The 15,378-nt window shown below is 64.5% G+C and overlaps 3 protein-coding genes, 1 long non-coding RNA gene and 1 other non-coding gene across 21 annotated transcripts in view, besides 9 other annotated features; 2 read left to right on the top strand and 3 right to left on the bottom strand.

Moving 5' to 3' along the window:
- Positions 1-786: 786 nt before the first annotated feature.
- Positions 787-3,040, bottom strand: LOC100287175 (uncharacterized). Its single transcript, NR_149003.1, has 4 exons — positions 2,936-3,040; positions 1,866-1,969; positions 1,119-1,183; positions 787-983 (listed from the first exon to the last, which is right to left on the bottom strand). It is a non-coding gene; the product is annotated as an uncharacterized LOC100287175 (long non-coding RNA).
- Positions 1,883-2,657: an enhancer, noted in NCBI's record as "H3K27ac-H3K4me1 hESC enhancer chr16:687335-688109 (GRCh37/hg19 assembly coordinates)". NCBI's record gives its function as "activates a minimal SCP1, AML or CMV promoter by ChIP-STARR-seq in naive H9 embryonic stem cells {active_cell/tissue: H9 hESC(naive)}" and the evidence as "EXISTENCE:reporter gene assay evidence [ECO:0000049][PMID:30033119]".
- A 145-nt stretch (positions 3,041-3,185) lies between the features above and the next one.
- On the top strand, positions 3,186-3,256 carry TRG-CCC2-2 (tRNA-Gly (anticodon CCC) 2-2). Its single transcript has one exon. It is a non-coding gene; the product is annotated as a tRNA-Gly (tRNA).
- Positions 3,676-3,795: a silencer, noted in NCBI's record as "silent region_6929". NCBI's record gives its function as "represses an Ori minimal core promoter by ATAC-STARR-seq in GM12878 lymphoblastoid cells {active_cell/tissue: GM12878}" and the evidence as "EXISTENCE:reporter gene assay evidence [ECO:0000049][PMID:35858748]".
- Positions 3,687-5,562, top strand: METTL26 (methyltransferase like 26). Of its 13 annotated transcripts, none has more exons than NR_109978.2 (6): positions 3,687-3,898; positions 4,218-4,380; positions 4,652-4,711; positions 4,929-5,103; positions 5,195-5,273; positions 5,348-5,562. NR_109978.2 is itself a non-coding variant. In NM_032366.5 (6 exons), the coding sequence occupies exons 1-6, from the start codon at positions 3,702-3,704 to the stop codon at positions 5,393-5,395; spliced, it is 615 nt and encodes a 204-aa protein (NP_115742.3). In that variant the 5' UTR covers positions 3,687-3,701; the 3' UTR covers positions 5,396-5,562. The 13 variants fall into 13 exon arrangements, 9 of the variants coding, with proteins under 9 accessions (NP_115742.3, XP_011521015.1, NP_001275639.1 ...); NM_032366.5 differs by having other exon boundaries at positions 5,036-5,103; XM_011522713.3 differs by having other exon boundaries at positions 4,218-4,474.
- Positions 3,846-4,025: a silencer, noted in NCBI's record as "silent region_6928". NCBI's record gives its function as "represses an Ori minimal core promoter by ATAC-STARR-seq in GM12878 lymphoblastoid cells {active_cell/tissue: GM12878}" and the evidence as "EXISTENCE:reporter gene assay evidence [ECO:0000049][PMID:35858748]".
- Positions 4,088-4,747: an enhancer, noted in NCBI's record as "H3K27ac-H3K4me1 hESC enhancer chr16:685245-685904 (GRCh37/hg19 assembly coordinates)". NCBI's record gives its function as "activates a minimal SCP1, AML or CMV promoter by ChIP-STARR-seq in primed H9 embryonic stem cells {active_cell/tissue: H9 hESC(primed)}" and the evidence as "EXISTENCE:reporter gene assay evidence [ECO:0000049][PMID:30033119]".
- Positions 5,563-5,874: 312 nt separating the features above from the next.
- Positions 5,875-9,007, bottom strand: WFIKKN1 (WAP, follistatin/kazal, immunoglobulin, kunitz and netrin domain containing 1). The gene is made up of 2 exons (NM_053284.3): positions 8,568-9,007; positions 5,875-7,410 (listed from the first exon to the last, which is right to left on the bottom strand). The coding sequence occupies exons 1-2, from the start codon at positions 8,736-8,738 to the stop codon at positions 5,935-5,937; spliced, it is 1,647 nt and encodes a 548-aa protein (NP_444514.1). The 5' UTR covers positions 8,739-9,007; the 3' UTR covers positions 5,875-5,934.
- Positions 8,914-9,648: an enhancer, noted in NCBI's record as "H3K27ac-H3K4me1 hESC enhancer chr16:680344-681078 (GRCh37/hg19 assembly coordinates)". NCBI's record gives its function as "activates a minimal SCP1, AML or CMV promoter by ChIP-STARR-seq in primed H9 embryonic stem cells {active_cell/tissue: H9 hESC(primed)}" and the evidence as "EXISTENCE:reporter gene assay evidence [ECO:0000049][PMID:30033119]".
- Positions 9,649-10,382: an enhancer, noted in NCBI's record as "H3K27ac-H3K4me1 hESC enhancer chr16:679610-680343 (GRCh37/hg19 assembly coordinates)". NCBI's record gives its function as "activates a minimal SCP1, AML or CMV promoter by ChIP-STARR-seq in naive H9 embryonic stem cells {active_cell/tissue: H9 hESC(naive)}" and the evidence as "EXISTENCE:reporter gene assay evidence [ECO:0000049][PMID:30033119]".
- Positions 9,829-10,123: an enhancer, noted in NCBI's record as "tiled region #12344; K562 Activating DNase matched - State 5:Enh". NCBI's record gives its function as "activates a minimal TATA promoter and a strong SV40 promoter by Sharpr-MPRA in K562 cells {active_cell/tissue: K562}" and the evidence as "EXISTENCE:reporter gene assay evidence [ECO:0000049][PMID:27701403]".
- The window catches only part of RAB40C (RAB40C, member RAS oncogene family), a 39,912-nt gene continuing 35,257 nt past the window's right edge, over positions 10,724-15,378 (bottom strand). For 4 of the 5 annotated variants that reach the window (NM_001172663.2, NM_001172664.2, NM_021168.5 and 1 more), the window contains 3 exons: positions 14,483-14,560; positions 13,871-14,093; positions 10,724-12,650 (listed from right to left, as the gene is read on the bottom strand). In NM_001172663.2, coding sequence (NP_001166134.1) covers positions 12,370-12,650; positions 13,871-14,093; positions 14,483-14,560 — 582 coding nt within the window. In that variant the 3' untranslated portion in view covers positions 10,724-12,369. The remainder of the gene's footprint in view (positions 12,651-13,870; positions 14,094-14,482; positions 14,561-15,378) is intronic. The other variant, NM_001172666.2, reaches the window with a different exon arrangement.
- Positions 11,852-12,585: an enhancer, noted in NCBI's record as "H3K27ac-H3K4me1 hESC enhancer chr16:677407-678140 (GRCh37/hg19 assembly coordinates)". NCBI's record gives its function as "activates a minimal SCP1, AML or CMV promoter by ChIP-STARR-seq in naive H9 embryonic stem cells {active_cell/tissue: H9 hESC(naive)}" and the evidence as "EXISTENCE:reporter gene assay evidence [ECO:0000049][PMID:30033119]".
- Positions 12,215-12,465: a silencer, noted in NCBI's record as "fragment chr16:677527-677777 (GRCh37/hg19 assembly coordinates)". NCBI's record gives its function as "represses an EF-1alpha promoter that drives an FKBP-Casp9 reporter gene in an ReSE screen in phorbol 12-myristate 13-acetate-treated (for megakaryocytic differentiation) K562 erythroleukemia cells {active_cell/tissue: K562(+PMA)}" and the evidence as "EXISTENCE:reporter gene assay evidence [ECO:0000049][PMID:32094911]".

The following is a 15,378-nucleotide window of genomic DNA, read 5'->3' as shown; positions in this document are numbered from 1 at the left end:
CAGGAGAATCACTTGAACCCAGGAGGTGGAGGTTGCAGTGAGCTGAGATCACATCACTGCACTCCAGCCTGGGCGACAGAGCAGGACTCTAAAGAAGAAAAGCCAGTGCCCTTCTTCAAAGGCTGGAATGTAACAAAAGCCCACCAAGAGCTGTGCCCAGGCCTCTCCTGGGCCTTGAAGCGCGACAAGATAACGAAGGAATTCTTAATAGGACCCGTTTAGGATTAAACAAGTTTATTGGAGGTCTGAAGAAACTCTCCAGGCCTCCACAGACAAGTTTATTGGGAGCCCGAAGGAACTCCCCAAACCTTCATGATTTAGCAGGAAACAAGATTAAGTCAGTTTACTGAGGCTCCAGGGGAAGGTCTTCAGGACTCAGGCCTTAATTATAGATTAAAAGAAGTTAATCACTTGGCCGGGCACGGTGGCTCACGCCTGTAATCCCAGCACTTTGGGAGGCCGAGGCGGGCGGATCACGAGGTCAGGAAATCGAGACCATCCTGGCTAACACGGGGAAACCCCGTCTCTACTAAAAATAGTGAGCCCAAGATCGTGCCACTGCACTCCAGCCTGGGCAACAGAGCAAGACTCCGTCTCAAAAAAAAGAAAAAAGAAAAAAGTTAACCACTTATGTCTTCAGATGAATGCACACTTACACACAGACATCTAGGTTGGAAGGTACATAACCTCTGGAAAACTTTGTAATTTGACTTGTTCTGGTGATAATTTCCAGGCCTTCTCCTTGTAACCGGCTGCAGAAATAAAAACCCTCTTCCTCACCAGTTCATCTGCATCTCGTTACTGGGCCACGAGAAATAGCAGCCCGACTCTCAGTTTGGTCCAGGAACAAGAGGAGGCTGCCTGTGCCGGCATCAGGGCCTGGCGTGTCCAGTGGCCCCCACATTCTCCAAGGAGAGGTCAGGGATGCTGTGGCTGAAAACGGAGCTGTGGCGGGTGGGCGGCAGGGCCCAGAGTCTTCCTGTCTAAATTTCCAGGCAAGCAACATGCACCACATGGAGGGGTGAGGGGAGGCCCTTGGTGGTGGGGGGCCAGCCCGAGGAGCCCCCACCCCATGCACTGGCCCTGCTTCTCCTCCCTTCTGGGAGCTCCAGACTTACTGGGAGGCCCTCAGGGAAGCTTCTGACCCAGGTGTCTCTTGGCCCTGTACCCCTCCTCAGCATGGCTGAAGAGCGGAAGGAAAGAGGTTTCCATCCCCAGCTGCCTTCTCTGCAGGGTTGGGCCAGGCCTGTGGCCCTCAGAGGGCAAAGGAGATGGCAAGCCACAGCCAGGGAGGCCAAGCCTGAGACGCCCCCTAGGAAGGACTCCTCACGGACTCTTTTCTACCTCCCACCCCCACCCCTGCCCCCACCTTCCCCACTCCCCCAGTTCCCCTCCCCCCACCTGGCTCTGCCCTCCCCCCACCAGCATCGGGCATCGTGTCCTTCAAGGAAGGCCAGTGTGATCCCCGTCATCTGTGCAGCCTGCGTCCTGCCCTGGCTTCTCCCAGTGGCCTTCAGCGCAATCACTCACACAGGCCAGGGAGGCAGGACGGGGTGCTGGGGGGCCTGTGCACAGCCTGAGGGCATATGCTCCTGTGGAAGACCTGGCAGCAAGGACCAGCTGAGTTAGAGTGAGGGCGGTGCTGGGGAGGGAAGCCCCATGTGGGGAAGGGCATAACCCGAGCTCACACAGGCTCCCGAAGGCGGCCCCCCACCTTTGGGGCCCACTGCAGGCGGCAAGGACAAGCTGGGCTGGCCCAGAGCTCAGCAGAGCTAGCGTTTGCTTCAGCCATTGGTGGTCAAGCCACGAGGCCCAAACATCCAGCCCCAACAATAGGCCATATCTGAAGTCAGGCAACACTAAACCTGCCATGCGCTGGGCACTGTAGGCAGCTCCTGAACGCAGCTCCATTCAAGGGGGGAAGCAGGGAGGCGCAGAGAGACTGATCTCGGGCTCCTCTTTCCTGTGCCTAGGGAAGCCCAGGTGAAATCTGGGTGAGGAGAGGTGCATGGGCCCCAGGAGAACCACTGGTCATCATAGGTCCCTCCTCCTGGGGCTCTCCTCGAGGTGGGGGTTGGGGGCAGGGTGCGCATTGAAGGAGGCGCAGGGAAAGTGCTCAGCCCACAGAAAGAGAGATGGAGGCGGCCAGTCAGGCGAGGAAAGCGTGGGCTTGGGCCGCAGAGCCTGCTGCAGGGTCTGGCCAGTCACCACCACGGCGGACACCAACATCTCCTGGCAGGGTTGTCCCTGACCCCTGACTCCCTGAGCCCCCCATGGCCCGCGTTCCCAGTCCCAGACTGGCAGCCTGTAAGCCACTCTCCTACCCTGAGCCACGTGACTGGCCCTCCCTGGTTTACCCCTTCCAACGTCCTTGCCCTAGCCAGAGCGATATGGGGTTCCCATTGGTGAAAAACGGCTCAGCAAAGGCGCTAAGCCAGTCCTGAATGCAGAGCCAGGCGCTTGGCACTTTCTGGAGAAGAGCCCGGCTCTGAGGCTGGGACCCCAACCCTCGGGCGCACATAAATCGCGGCCTGTGACTTGATTTCGGGGGTCACCGACCGACCCCTCACGCTATCCGTGGGCCCTGAGCTGGTGCTGTTACCCCAGTGTCACAGAGAAACCCTGGGGCATTATTCGTGCCCCTCCCGCAGACCGCCCAGTTCTGCAGGCTGGGACCGCCCGCCCCGCCCTCTGCCGCCCCTGCCGCCCCTGCCGCCCCTGCCGCCCCTGCCGCAACCCCGCTCTGGCCCCGCCCCAACCCGCCAGTCCACACTCATGTCCCGCCCCCCAGCCCCGCCTCCCCTCTCGGACCCGCCCCGATATGGCCCCGCCCCTCCGGCAACCCCGCCCTAAACTCGGACCAACAGGGGGCCCCAGCCCAGCCCCGCCCTCTCCCCAGCCCCGCCCCGACAGGGCCTCGCCCCCATCGGCTCACGAAGGCCAACGGCTTCCACGGCTCAGGCCCGAATCGAGACTGTCCTCCAGCTCGCGTCCTTCACGCCCGCTCCTTCCCCTCCGGCACTGGGGGGCACCGCGAGACTCTTACCCTCGCGGTCCCGCCAGCTGGGTCCTCCTATGCAGTCGCCAGCTCCCTTGCGCTGAGCCCGGCGCCAGCGGCGGCGCACGCCCGGAGGACTTCCCGCGTCACAGTCTCTTGTCTCCGCGGGCAGCAACTGTCTTAGACAGCGCCGCTGGTGTAGTGGTATCATGCAAGATTCCCATTCTTGCGACCCGGGTTCGATTCCCGGGCGGCGCACTTAGTTTTTTTTCCCATTTGAACATCGAACTCTCGCTAACGCCAGAAATTTAAAAGTAGAGAAAACCCGAAACCAAGGGAAGGCGCCCAGTCTGGCGCAGCGCTGACACAAATTTCGGAGAGTGACACAGGTGCCCTGAAAACCCTGGACGGCCATGGGCGACAGGGTGCCTGAGCTGAGGCGCCTGTAAACCAGCAAGCCAAGCTCGCCGTTCAGTCCCCTGCCTGGGACCGCCACACACCGCTGAGCCGCTCCCCACCGTGCCTCTGGCGACTGCTGGTCCTTTAACAGGAGGCGCGCGTGCTCCTGGGAGTTGTAGTTTATCAGCTTCCGACGTGCCCCGCGGTATCTGGACTACAGCTCCCGACGTGCCCCGCGGAAGCCCGGCCACCGCCCCCGACGCGACCCGCGCCGCGTCCGCGGCGGGGAGTTGTTGCTGCCGCGATGCTGGTGGCGGCGGCCGCGGAGCGGAACAAGGATCCCATCTTGCACGTGCTGCGGCAGTACCTGGATCCGGCCCAGCGTGGCGTCCGCGTCCTCGAGGTGGCCTCGGGCTCCGGCCAGCACGCAGCGCACTTCGCGCGGGCCTTCCCCCTGGCCGAGTGGCAGCCGTCGGACGTGGACCAGCGCTGCCTGGACAGGTGCGGCCCCCGGGGCGGCCACTTCTATCGGTGCGGCGGTCCGGGGCCTCAAGAGCCCACGGCCCGCAGCCCCGGAGGAAAAGGATGCGGCTCGGGCTCTGAGGGTGCGGGGTGGGAGCCTGGGGGTGCCCCCGGGGCAGGCCCTAGCTGTGCGGCCCCCGCGGCTGCGGAAGTGGGTGGACCTCGGGGTCCCCCTTCCCAGCCGCTTTGGTCTCCGCTCCTCAACGTGCCCCCCAGCCTCCCCTAAGAAATTCTGTGGGGGCGTCGGAAAGGCGGGTGCACAGGACTCGGCCCCCACCCAAGCGTTCGCCTCCTGCAGCATCGCGGCCACCACGCAAGCCCAGGGCCTGACCAACGTGAAGGCCCCGCTACACCTGGACGTGACGTGGGGCTGGGAGCACTGGGGCGGGATCCTGCCACAGTCGCTGGACCTGTTGCTCTGCATCAACATGGCCCATGTCAGCCCCCTGCGCTGCACGGAGGTCTGTGGGGAGCCCAGCATGGGTGTCTGCCGTGGCACCACTCACCCTGCATGGGGGCAGCTGGGATGCCAGATTTGCCCCCATCACAGTCGGGGTGAGGGTCTCCAGCCTCCCCCATCACAGTCGGGGTGAGGGTCTCCAGCCTCCCCCATCACAGTCGGGGTGAGGGTCTCCAGCCTCCCCCATCACAGTCGGGGTGAGGGTCTCCAGCCTCAGGGCCTGGCTTCTGTTGGGGGCAGCACCTCACTGCCGTCCTGTTCCTACTCACCAGGGGCTCTTCAGAGCAGCAGGACACCTGCTCAAACCCAGGGCCCTGCTCATCACCTACGGGGTGAGTGGGCCTGTCCACGGCGGGCCTCCCGCTCCCAGTCCTAGCTGCTGTCTCCTGCCCTGCTGAGAGTCCTCCCTCCTGGGCTCCCTGCCCCCCGCCCAGCCACCAGCACGGCCTCCCCTCCACTTCCAGTCTGTACCCCTCCCTGGGTCATCTGCCAGCCTCCCTACCCCCTTGCCCACCAGGCTGGCCTTGGCTGACTCCCTCTTGGGGACAGGGAGGGGGTGCCCTTTCATTCTCCAAACCCCAGCCTGCAAGTCTGTCCCAGGCTCTCTGGGAAATACCCCGACCTTGGTCCAGTGGGCTGTGTCCCCATGCCCACAGCCCTATGCCATCAATGGGAAGATCTCCCCCCAGAGCAACGTGGACTTTGACCTGATGCTCAGATGCAGGTCAGAGCTAGAGGCGGGGGGTCTGGCTCAGGTGGCAGGTGGCTTGGGTGGCACCCCCCAGGCCATGACTCCATCTCCCCACCCTCTGCAGGAACCCAGAATGGGGGCTTCGGGACACAGCCCTCCTGGAGGACCTGGGAAAGGCCAGTGGCCTGCTCCTGGAGAGGATGGTAGGTGGGGGAGCGGGGGCCCAGGCAACCTCTCTAGGGGTTGAGGGCCGTCCTCCAGCAAAGTGTTTCTCCAGGTGGACATGCCAGCCAACAACAAATGCCTGATCTTCCGGAAAAACTAAGCCCCTCCTTCACCCCCGCACACCTGCATCCCTGCCGGAGGCTCTGTGAGGCACGAACCCTGCCTCCCTAGGCCGGACCTTGTGGACGACAGCCCCACCCAGTCTGTGCTCTCAGCCGCTGGCCGAAGGGCCCAGCCTGCTCAGAATAAAGCATGTCCTGCTGCCGGCTTGCTGGTGTCTGCCCCACCTCCTCCTAGGAGCACCTTGTGAGGTTGGGTGGGAGACGGGGTCTCCTGTGGGGTCAAGGGCTTGGGACGTCCTGATCCTTGCTGCTGGAGCTCGGGCAGTGGGATTGGGGCCGAGACAGCTGCTGAGGCAGGATGGAGCTGGTTGGGGATGCAGGGGCGGACAGGCACTCCCTGGTGACCTTGTACCAAAGCCCAAGCCCCAGTGGGTGTCAAGGCCCCAGCGGAAACTGGCTGGGCATGGGGCACCTGGAAGGATGAGGGTCGCCCGACCAGCAGCAGCAAGCCAGGAGGTCTGAGGCACAGGGAGTGCGTTTATTCACCAGGACGGGGTGGCGCAGGCCCCTGCGGGGGCTAGTCCTGGAAGCGGTTGAGCAGCTCGCAGGCCTGCTTCTCCAGCAGCTCCAAGATCTTCTTGACGCGCTTCTCGCTGGCGGCGCGGACGTAGCTGCCGGCGTCCAGCACGGCCACGCCATCGCGCACCTCACCCATGATGACCAGCGGCCCGTCGCCCGCCGTCATGTTGGGGCAGGGGCAGGCCCAGTCCATGCCACTCAGCGTCACCTCCAGGTACTTGGTGCCCAAGAACTTGAGGCCCATCTTGTCATCCTTGAGCACGTCCTCGAGCGCCACGCGGGCGATGCCGCCGGCGGCCTCGGGCTCCTCCAGCACCTCCGTGAGCCGCCCCACGATGGCGAAGTCGCTGCGGCACAGGCTCAGCGCCAGCTTGCTCCGGAGGCGGCAGGCGCGGCAGGGCGGTGTGCGCGGCACGGGGCAGGCATCCTCGCAGCTCTCGCGGCTGTGGAAGTTGTTGCCGTTGCCCTCGCAGCCACCGTACACGAAGGGATGGCACTGCTGCAGCAGCGGGCTGTAGGCCCAGCGCGGCTCCCAGCCCCGGCAGGGGCCCTGCACGGCAGGCAGCACGCAGGCGTCGCCGGGGCCGCGGGCACAGGCCTGCTGGCATGCCTCGTAGGTCTCAAAGCCGCGGGCCGCCCCATCACAGCCACGGGCCGGGAAGGTCATGCAGCCGCCCCGCTGCGGGTCGTAGTGCCAGAGGACAAGGTGTGGGGAAGTGGGGCCCGTGCAGGCCTGCACATCCGGCAGGCACTCGGCCGGGGCTGGGATGCTGGGGGCTGCGTCCCTGGCCGGCTCTCGCTGGACCACAGAGAGTGGGAAGTCAGCCCGCAGCAGCCCAGCAGCGTTGCGCGCGGTGCAGGTGTACAGGCCGGCGTCTTCGGGCCGCGCGTTGTAGAGCACCAGCTGCCCGATGCTGGTGACCACCACGTTGCCATACATCTGATCAGGGCGCATGATCAGGTTCTCTCGCTGGTGACTCTGCTTCTCCCAGGTCACAGCAGGCGGCGGGCGGCCGCTGACGTCGCAGTGGAGGCTGGCCGTACCCCCAACCTGCACCGCCTGTGGGGAGGGGCTGCTGTACAGGGCAGGAGGCACGGGCGCGGCCCCAGGTGTGGGGCGGGCAGTGGTCTCCGGCGGCCCCGGGCTGCTGGGCGGCCAGCTGAGCACGTGCTTGCAGGGCACGATGTGGAGGTGCAGGCCCCGCAGGCAGGCCTCGGCGTCCATATAGCAGCGGTTGTAGTAGGTGAGGCCGTCCGAGGCGCAGGTGAAGCTGGGCTCCTTCTCACAGCGGTCGCGGCAGCGGCACACGGGCTGCCCGTCCCAGATGTCGCAGTCCGAGCCCTGCTGTGGGCACACAAAGCCCTCGCAGGAGGCCGCTGTCGTCGGCGCAGCTGGGCTGCCGGGGAAGCGTGCTGCCACGCAGCTGTGCAGTCCACACACGTTGATGCAGCACTTCTCAGCAGCCGCACAGTCCTGGGGATGGGGGACACTTAGGTGGGAGCCCCAATGCCCCCCGCCCCGGGGCTCTGGCCTGGCCCCTGCAAGGGGAGGCCCAGGTGGGGTAGCAGGGAGCCCCCCGCTCTGTGGCTGCCTCCCCGGGGACTCAGTGTCCTTTCCATCCTGTGTGAGGAGCCACCTCGCCAGAGGTGCCACCTGGCTTACCTTCCAGAATCCTCACACCCACAAGCAAGTTCCGTTATTCTTTACGTTGTACAGACGAGGAAACTGAGGCCCAAGGAGGGCGTACAGTGCTCAGGACCACCCAGCAGGTGGTGCGGGCCAGGACAAAGGCTGGACATCGGCTGCAGCACCCCCACCACCATCTGCACTGGTCCCGGATGGAAGGAGGGTGGGAGGACAGGGAGGACAGTGGATGGAAGGAGAGGGTGGGAGGAGAGGATGGAAGGAGAGGGTGGGAGGAGAGGATGGAAGGAGAGGCAGTGACGGGGTGGGAGAAGAGGATGGAAGAAGTGGATGGGAGGAGTGGATGGGAGGAGTGGATGGGAGGAGAGGGTGGGAGGAGAGGCAGTGAAGGGGTGGGAGAAGTGGATGGGAGGAGAGGATGGAAGGAGAGGCAATGACGGGGTGAGAGAAGAGGATGGAAAAAGTGGATGGGAGGAGTGGATAGGAGAGGATGGAAGGAGAGGCAGTGATGGGGTGGGAGAAGAGGATGGAAGAAGTGGATGGGAGGAGTGGATAGGAGAGGATGGAAGGAGAGGCAGTGACGGGGTGGGAGAAGAGGATGGAAGAAGTGGATGGGAGGAGTGGATGGGAGGAGAGGGTGGGAGGAGAGGATGGAAGGAGAGGCAGTGAAGGGGTGGGAGAAGTGGATGGGAGGAGAGGGTGGGAGGAGAGGGTGGGAGGAGAGGCAGTGACGGGGTGGGGGTGGTCGCCGAGGATGATGGTGCCCCAGGGTGGAGGCACATGGGGAGCATGAAAGCTGGAGTGGGGAGGGCTCTTATTCTTAAGACAAATGAGGGCAACGATGGGGGTGTCTCTGGGCCCCTTAAGGGGCCCAGACCCAGACCCCCCAGAAGTCTGGGGAGCCCAGGCAGAAGGTGGCACCTCCAGCAGGGTCTTGCCCAGGCTGGCTGCTCTGAGCCCCAGGACCCCGGCCCGACCACACTCACCTGGTCCCTGCTACACTCGCGCTCACAGGTGCTCTGGGCGTCCACCCACAGGTTGGGGCTGAGCTGGTTGGGGCACACGCCCGGGTGGCTCCCCAGCCCTGGCAGCAAGCCAGCCCCCGAGGTCAGCCGGAGGAGGAGCAGGAGCGGCAGGAGTGGACGTAGGGCGGGCATGAGGGCCGCCGAGCCAGGGGGCCGGGGGGTGTGGCCACCAGCCCCTCCTCGGGCTCCACAGAGCCCAGCTTCCTGCAGGCATCCACCCTCCGGGCCTGTGGTCGGTGCCCCCACCAGGACCCCGGGGCTCCCTTTTGCCCCTGAGGCTGAAGCCTGCAGCAGATGCTTGTCCTGACACCCCTGCTGGGTGGGTAACGGGGTCTCCAAGTTCTCAGAGGCCGTCTGTGTGACGCTGGTTCCTCTCCAGCTTCAGCCTGGCCCCTCTGTCTGAACCGTGCGGGGGCTCCCAGGCCCTGGTCAGCACAGGGCAGAGGGGAGGAGGTTGGGGAGGGGCCAGAGGCCCATGAGCACAGAGCCACTGGCCATGAGGGTCACCGGGGCGGGGAAGGGCTGGCTCTGGCTGGAGAGGGGGAGGGGAGGGGACCCTGTAACCTGAACCCCTTCGTCCACCCCTGGGCTGAGATCAATCTCCTTGACGACCCTCAGTAGGGTGGGGGCAGGGCCAGCAGATCCCAGCTTTTGTCCCTGGCGCCCTCTGGACCCCAGGCTCCTATGCCATGGGGGTGGCAGGCACGGGCCCTCCCCGCAGAGCGTGGCTGACCACAGCCTGGGTCCCCCGGGCCAGGTCCAGGCTGGCAACGGTCACGTGCGGCCGAGGGCTTCACTCCGCTCCGAGGTTCCTTCCCCCCTCCATGGCTGTTTCAGGGGCACAGGGGTCTGCAGGACGCCCAGCACAGCCCGGCCTCCTCTGCTCTGCTGCCCCTGTTGGAGTGGGGCCCAACCCGGCAGGACTGCATTCCCAGAGACCCCATCCCTGAAACCAGGCAGCGGGCTTGGGGCTCAGGCCTGTCCCCAAGGCGGGGCAGGTGCAGCAGGAAGAGGCCTGTGGCCACCACAAGCATAAGAACAGCCCGAAACGCTGATGCCGGAGCCTCGGCCCACGCACCGTGTAGCCCTGGACGTGGCTCCGCGTGGGATGGCACCGCCCGAGGGAAGGCCAAGTGCAAGGGCGTCTGCAGCTGAAAAGAGCAAGTGTCCCAGGGCACCAGAGCCTTGCCCTGCCCCAGCCCCCCGTCGGCGGGGCACACATCCCCAGGCTGGCTCCTCTTCGTTGGGGAGGGCAGGGGGCTGGCCTGCCTGGTGCAGCAGGACAAAAGGCTGCCTGGAATCTACCCTTCCAAACCCTCTGTGGCTCCAGATGTCTGGGGCCTCAGGGAGTGGTTCTCTTGAGACCGGATGGGAGTGTCCCCCTGACCCTGTGTCTGACCTCTGACCCAGGAGGCAGGGTAACAGGAGCCTGGTCTGGTCAGAATGAGACCCGGAGACGGCTCCAGGCGCCAGTCCCTGCTCTACAAGGAGACTGGGGGTGGGCCCTGATAGCGTGGGGGTGGGGGTAGCTAGGCCAGACCCAGCAGCAGGCGGCTGGGCTGGAGCTGCCAGGGAGGGGCTTAAGGCCCGGACATGCCCACGAAACAGCACAGGGAGGCACCTGAGCCAGAGGCTGTGGTCTGGTCCCTGTACCAACTGGAGTGCCCCGTTCCAGCTCAGCTGTGACCTCCGGGGCGTCCACACCCCCCTGGGCCGGGCATAGCAGACACCAGATTGGCCAGCGTGCAGGCGGCTCTGCTGAGCGGGCCGACTGACTGGAGGACCTGGCCCTCTGGAGTCCTGCTGCTGTTGGGGACAGTCCGCCCCAGGCCATCTGCTGCCGGGGACTGTGAGCGAGGGCTCAGCACAGCCCAGCTGGGATTCCATCCACCGGGAAGAGGAGAATGGCCGTGACCAGGCCCAGCTGCTCCAGCCCAGCTCCAGCCCTCACTTTGAGGCGAACCCAGCCAACCGCGGCAGGTCAGCCCGGTCAGCGCAGGGAACAGCAGGCAAAACAAAGGCCAGAGGTCAGTTTGCCGGGTATGAAGCAGCACTGGCCCCTGGCACGGGGCACCGCCACTGCCAGACCCACCCCACCAGACACAGCAAAACGTGGGGACCACAGCTGAATTACATTTACTGTACAAAGAACGGTTCGGAGAGAACCAGGAATGGCGGAGTGTCTAACAGCAGCGCGGGTAGTGTTGATGCCGTGAATGCAGGACCATCCAGGTCCTCAAAGTCTGTGAGGTTTGTTCATAATCCCAAACAAGGGCCCTGCTGGCAGCAACAGGACAGGTGGGGCCAGGACAGGGAAGCTGGAGCAGGAGGCCAGTGTCTTTGGGGGCTGTGGCAGGGCCGCCTGCCTGGGGTTCCCTTACTCATCTGGTAGTTCATGCAGGCCACGGCCCTCATCTCCCAGGAACGGGCCATGGGGCGAGTCCACTGGTGCCCAGTAACACCCTCCGTGGGACCACCTTGGGAAGCATGTGCCGCGGAGTCCACCACGGGGGGTCCTGGGTCCCGGGAGGGCTCCTTCTGCGTGCTGGCCATGTCGTGCCGCACGGCCTGAGGACAGGAGGTAGAGGTGAGCACCAGTGCTGTGGGCAGGCCCAGGCGATGGTGACCGTGCAGAGGGGCTGCTGGGGCAGGCATGGGCAGAAGCACTGGGTGGAGGAGCGGCCAATGGCTTCAGGAGAGAGGTGGCCGGCCCTGCGTGCCTGGGGCTCAGCATGAGCGCCGGGCTGGTGGGCCTTTGAGGAGGGGCCTAGCCTCCCGAGGCCCCCAGGTGGACGTGGACGTGGACGAGGTGGTTCCAGGCACGTCCCTAAGAAGGTCAGGATGGTTCTGATGCCGTGCAACCTCACAGGAGAGCTGCAGCTGTGGGGACCCCAGGGCCAGCGACAGAAGCTGCCGAGAACAGGAGGCTGCACGCAGGTGCCCGGGGTCTGCACCGCTGCCCATCAAGTATTCCTAAGTCTACAGATAGCTCTGCACTCTCCAGGGTGGGCGAGATGATCTGAGTTTTGAGTGGTCAATGTCCCCGAAGGTGTCACATCACAGCAGGAAGGTTCTCATCCCCACGTGGGGAGGGATTTGGGGAGCAACAAAAATGTGGGCTGCCAGGTGCACCTCCTTTCTCCCCTCTCCTGAGTGCTGCTTGGGCTCTGACCACAGGACCACACCCTCCATCCCGTGGGAGCCAGGGCCCCGGTCACCCAAGCTTCCAGAGGGAGCACCGGCCCTGTCTGCTCCCCCGGCCTCTGGGCAGCCCCGCCACTCGCAGCGCATGAATTCACAGGATGCCTTGCCATCGCGGCCGCGAGTCCCCTCTCGAGGAGTCCCAAGTGCGTCCCCGCAGCTGGCGTGGCCATGAAGTCACCAGTGCACCACCACCGGGCCACACCCAGGCTTCCCTGAAGGCCCCTTAAAAATGTACAAAAAAGTGAAGTGTTCTCTATATAAATAAGAAAGGCCAACCAGGCTCCCCGCCGGTCAAGCCCAGGCAGCTGGGGAGGCCCGGCTTGTTTCCGACCAAGATTCCCGGAAGCACCAGCAGCCCAGCCGCGCCCCCTCCTCCCGCCTGCCGCGCTTGGTCCGTGCATGCTCCTCCTCGCACCCGGCTCAGGTGTGAGGAAAGCCCGGCGCTTCTGAGGCAGCTGTGTGGACAGTCTCCACGTAGGCGGCACTGGCCTGGCGTCCAGCCAGGAGTGTCCAGCTCGAGCCCTCCTGGCATCTGCACAGGCGGCCCCGCCCATCCCCGCTAGGAGATCTTGCAGTTACTCCGCGAGCAGTTCTGGGGGGGGCTCTGGGGTGGACGGATGGACTTGGACCTCTTGAGGCTGTTGCCCTTGCTGCCGCCGCCCCCGGCCCCGCTGGCCAGGGAGTAGGAACGGCCGTGCATCATGACCGCGTTCATGCCGTTGGCCATCGAGAAGGACTTGAGGTGGCTCTTGATGGTGACGGGCAGTGGAAGCTTGTCGATGAGGTGCACGGGGGTGCAGGAGACGATGGCCCGGCAGCAGAGGTCCTGCAGGCTGAACACTGTGGGGCAGAGGGGGTGTCAGACCATGGGGCTGTGGGGGAGGAGGCCCTGTGCAGGGAGACCTGAGGTGCCCAAGAGAAGCCTGGCGGGGTCTCCACACTCCTAGAGGTGTTCCCAGGCTGGGCTCCTGGAGGACCTGGACGCCCAAACTTCTCTGCCCAGCACAGATGTGTCCACTGGCACCCCATCCCCTGCCTTGCTCCCTAAAGCCAGGCACGCTGGGCGGTGCTGCTGCGGGGCTTCCAGAGGGCACTCTGCCCAGTTCCTGGCCTGGATGATGCAGCTCCCAGTGTGAGGGCTGCGTGATCTGGCCCTTCAAGCGTCCTGACTCATCCCCTAGAGCGGGGGAGCGCGCGTCCTGACTCATTCCCTAGAGCACTCGCTCATTCTTTTGTTTTGTTTTTTGAGACGGGTCTCGCTCTGTCGCCAGGCTGGAGTGCCGTGGCACGATCTCCGCTCACTGCAACCTCCGCCTCCTGGGTTCAAGCGATTCTCCTGCCTCAGCCTCCCGAATAGCTGGGACTACAGGTGTGCGTCACCACGCCCGGTTAATTTTTGTATTTTTAGTAGAGACGGGGTTTCACCGTGTTGGCCAGGCTGGTCTCGAAGTCCTGACCTCAGGTGATCCACCTGCTGTGGCCTCCCAAAGTGCTGGGATTACAGGAGTGAGCCACCGTGCCAGGCCCGTGCTTCCTCTTAAGAAGGACAGTGACACCGTCAGCCACCCTCTCTCTGTTCAGCAGTGAACCCTGCTGGGAGGCACCACAAAATCAACAGTACCACCTCCCTGAGGGGGGCTTCACGGGAGCCTCTGATCAAGGATGTGGCTACCCAGGAAGAGCAGATGACACAACACAAAGCTGCAGGCACGGCTCCTGTGCTCCCCTGACAGCAGGACCAGCCCCGGAACCAGGAAGGAGCGAGCACACACTGCCCACACCAGCAATGCCAGGGACCCACAGGCATGGCAGAGTGCAGCGGCCACGGCGGCACCCTGAGGGGGGGTCATCAGCTGCTCCTGTGCCCCCCAGTGCTGCCGCCTCTCCCCCGAGGCTGCTCTTACCAAGTCACTGACCTGCCGCCGGCCGAGCCCCTACTGCGCGTTGCCAAGGGACCTGCCTGAACCTCCCTCACTGGCCCCTGGCCCCCCTCAGCCTCCATGTGATCAGGGCAGCCCAGGTTCGGGGACCTCAGGGCTGGCCGGCGCCCGCCCACCCACCTCGGTTGGGCCTCCAGATCTTCTCCATGCCGTGCCGCATGAGCACGATGCGGGATAGCTCCGTGAAGGACTCGATGACGTTGAAGTTGCACAGGGGGCTGACCTCAAAGAAGGTCATGCAGTTCTTCTCTGCGTACGCGCGGGCCTGCTCCGTCGGGACCTGCCGCTTGAAGGCCAGGTGCAGCCGGTTTCCAACCAAGATCCGGGGGACTCCGGGTGCATGCTGGGGGCACAGAACTCAGCAGACGCACAAACGCAGGGTGCCACCCACCCCTCAGCCGCAGCAGGGCCCGCCCTCATTGTCTGGACTATGATGGGGTGAGGGCCGTGGGAGGTCAAGGTGGGCGGAGGTCAAGGTGGGCAGACCCCAGGGCTCAGGCCCTACAGTGCAGCCCTTCCGGGTGGCCCCGTAGCTCCTGGTCTTGCTGGGCTCCACGCCCGACTGTCGTGTGCACAGTGACCAGCATGCCCAGGCGTAGGCCGTGGGACAGTGCAGGGTGCAGAGCCGGGGCCACAGGAGGGGCGGCAGGCGGGAATCCAGAGCCTACCCGGGGCCCAGGTACCTCCATCCAGCCTGCCTTCCCCGGGAGGGCTCCCCGGACCCAGGCCTACCTCATCGATCTCCTTGATCCAGCGGTCGATGCCGTCAAAGGACCAGCGGTTGGTGATGTCATACACCAAGAGGATCCCCTGCAACAGAGACTTGGGGGTCATCAGGGGTCACTGACACGCATGGCCAGCCCAGGCCCAGGGACGCTCAGGTGCAGGGGCCTCAGTTCCCGGGCAGGGCCAAGGATGCTTATTACTTGGCGGATGGGCAGATGAGCCATGCCCTCCAGGCAGAGCTGGTGCAGCCCTGCCCCTCACCCCTGCCCTCACCTGGCAGGACTGCAGCAGGGGGGTGGGCGCCTTCCATGGTGTCAGAAATGCCGCTTCCCCTCCCTCCCCTGGAGCCATCAGCCTGTGGAAGTTTCCTGGGCAGGCAGATGCGGGGTTCTGGCAGCCGGGGGACGTGCAGCTGTGGAAGCTAAGTGTCCTCTCGGCCAGTCCATCAGTGAATCCCCCCGGGAGTACCTGGGACAGAGCTGAGTGGGGGCATTTCTGAGTTTTCCAACCTAAAACTTGCAGAGCAGAATGCCAGTCCCTCCAGGACAGTTTCTGTGAAGCTCCCCCAGCCAGGCAGAGCAGGTTTTGCCACGGGGACTTTTTGCCACATCCCTTAGAGACCAATTACTTGGAGCTCAGCTCTGGGCTGTTTCCACCTGCCCTAAATATCTCGGCAGTGACAGTCATGGCTCTCCAGCAGCACAGGGGAGCACACTGCTCACACTCAGAGCCCTGTCGGGCGAAACGGTGACATCACAGGCCCATTCCCCTATGCCCGCCTCTCCCCAACGTCCACTCCCACCCTACAATTCTGCAACCAGATCCAGCCAATGAGCTGTGATCCACCCTACTCCTAGGCTGACAAAACCTTCACGTAATGGAAGAGCCTATCACACAAGAGG

This window comes from Homo sapiens, chromosome 16 (assembly GCF_000001405.40).
Source record: "Homo sapiens chromosome 16, GRCh38.p14 Primary Assembly".
Lineage (NCBI taxonomy): Eukaryota > Metazoa > Chordata > Mammalia > Primates > Hominidae > Homo > Homo sapiens.
This window is presented reverse-complemented; position numbering and strand designations above follow the sequence as displayed.

Bases quoted from the DNA above. Each gene is read 5' to 3' on its own strand.
- METTL26 (XM_011522713.3), top strand. From the start codon at position 3,702: ATGCTGGTGGCGGCGGCCGCGGAGCGGAACAAGGATCCCATCTTGCAC. The intron at 4,475-4,651 runs GTGAGGGTCTCC...CCTACTCACCAG, and splicing joins TTGCCCCCATCACAGTCGGG to GGGCTCTTCAGAGCAGCAGG. The intron at 5,104-5,194 runs GTCAGAGCTAGA...CACCCTCTGCAG, and splicing joins GACCTGATGCTCAGATGCAG to GAACCCAGAATGGGGGCTTC.
- WFIKKN1 (NM_053284.3), bottom strand. From the start codon at position 8,738: ATGCCCGCCCTACGTCCACTCCTGCCGCTCCTGCTCCTCCTCCGGCTG. The intron at 7,411-8,567 runs GTGAGTGTGGTC...CCCCATCCCCAG, and splicing joins GCGAGTGTAGCAGGGACCAG to GACTGTGCGGCTGCTGAGAA.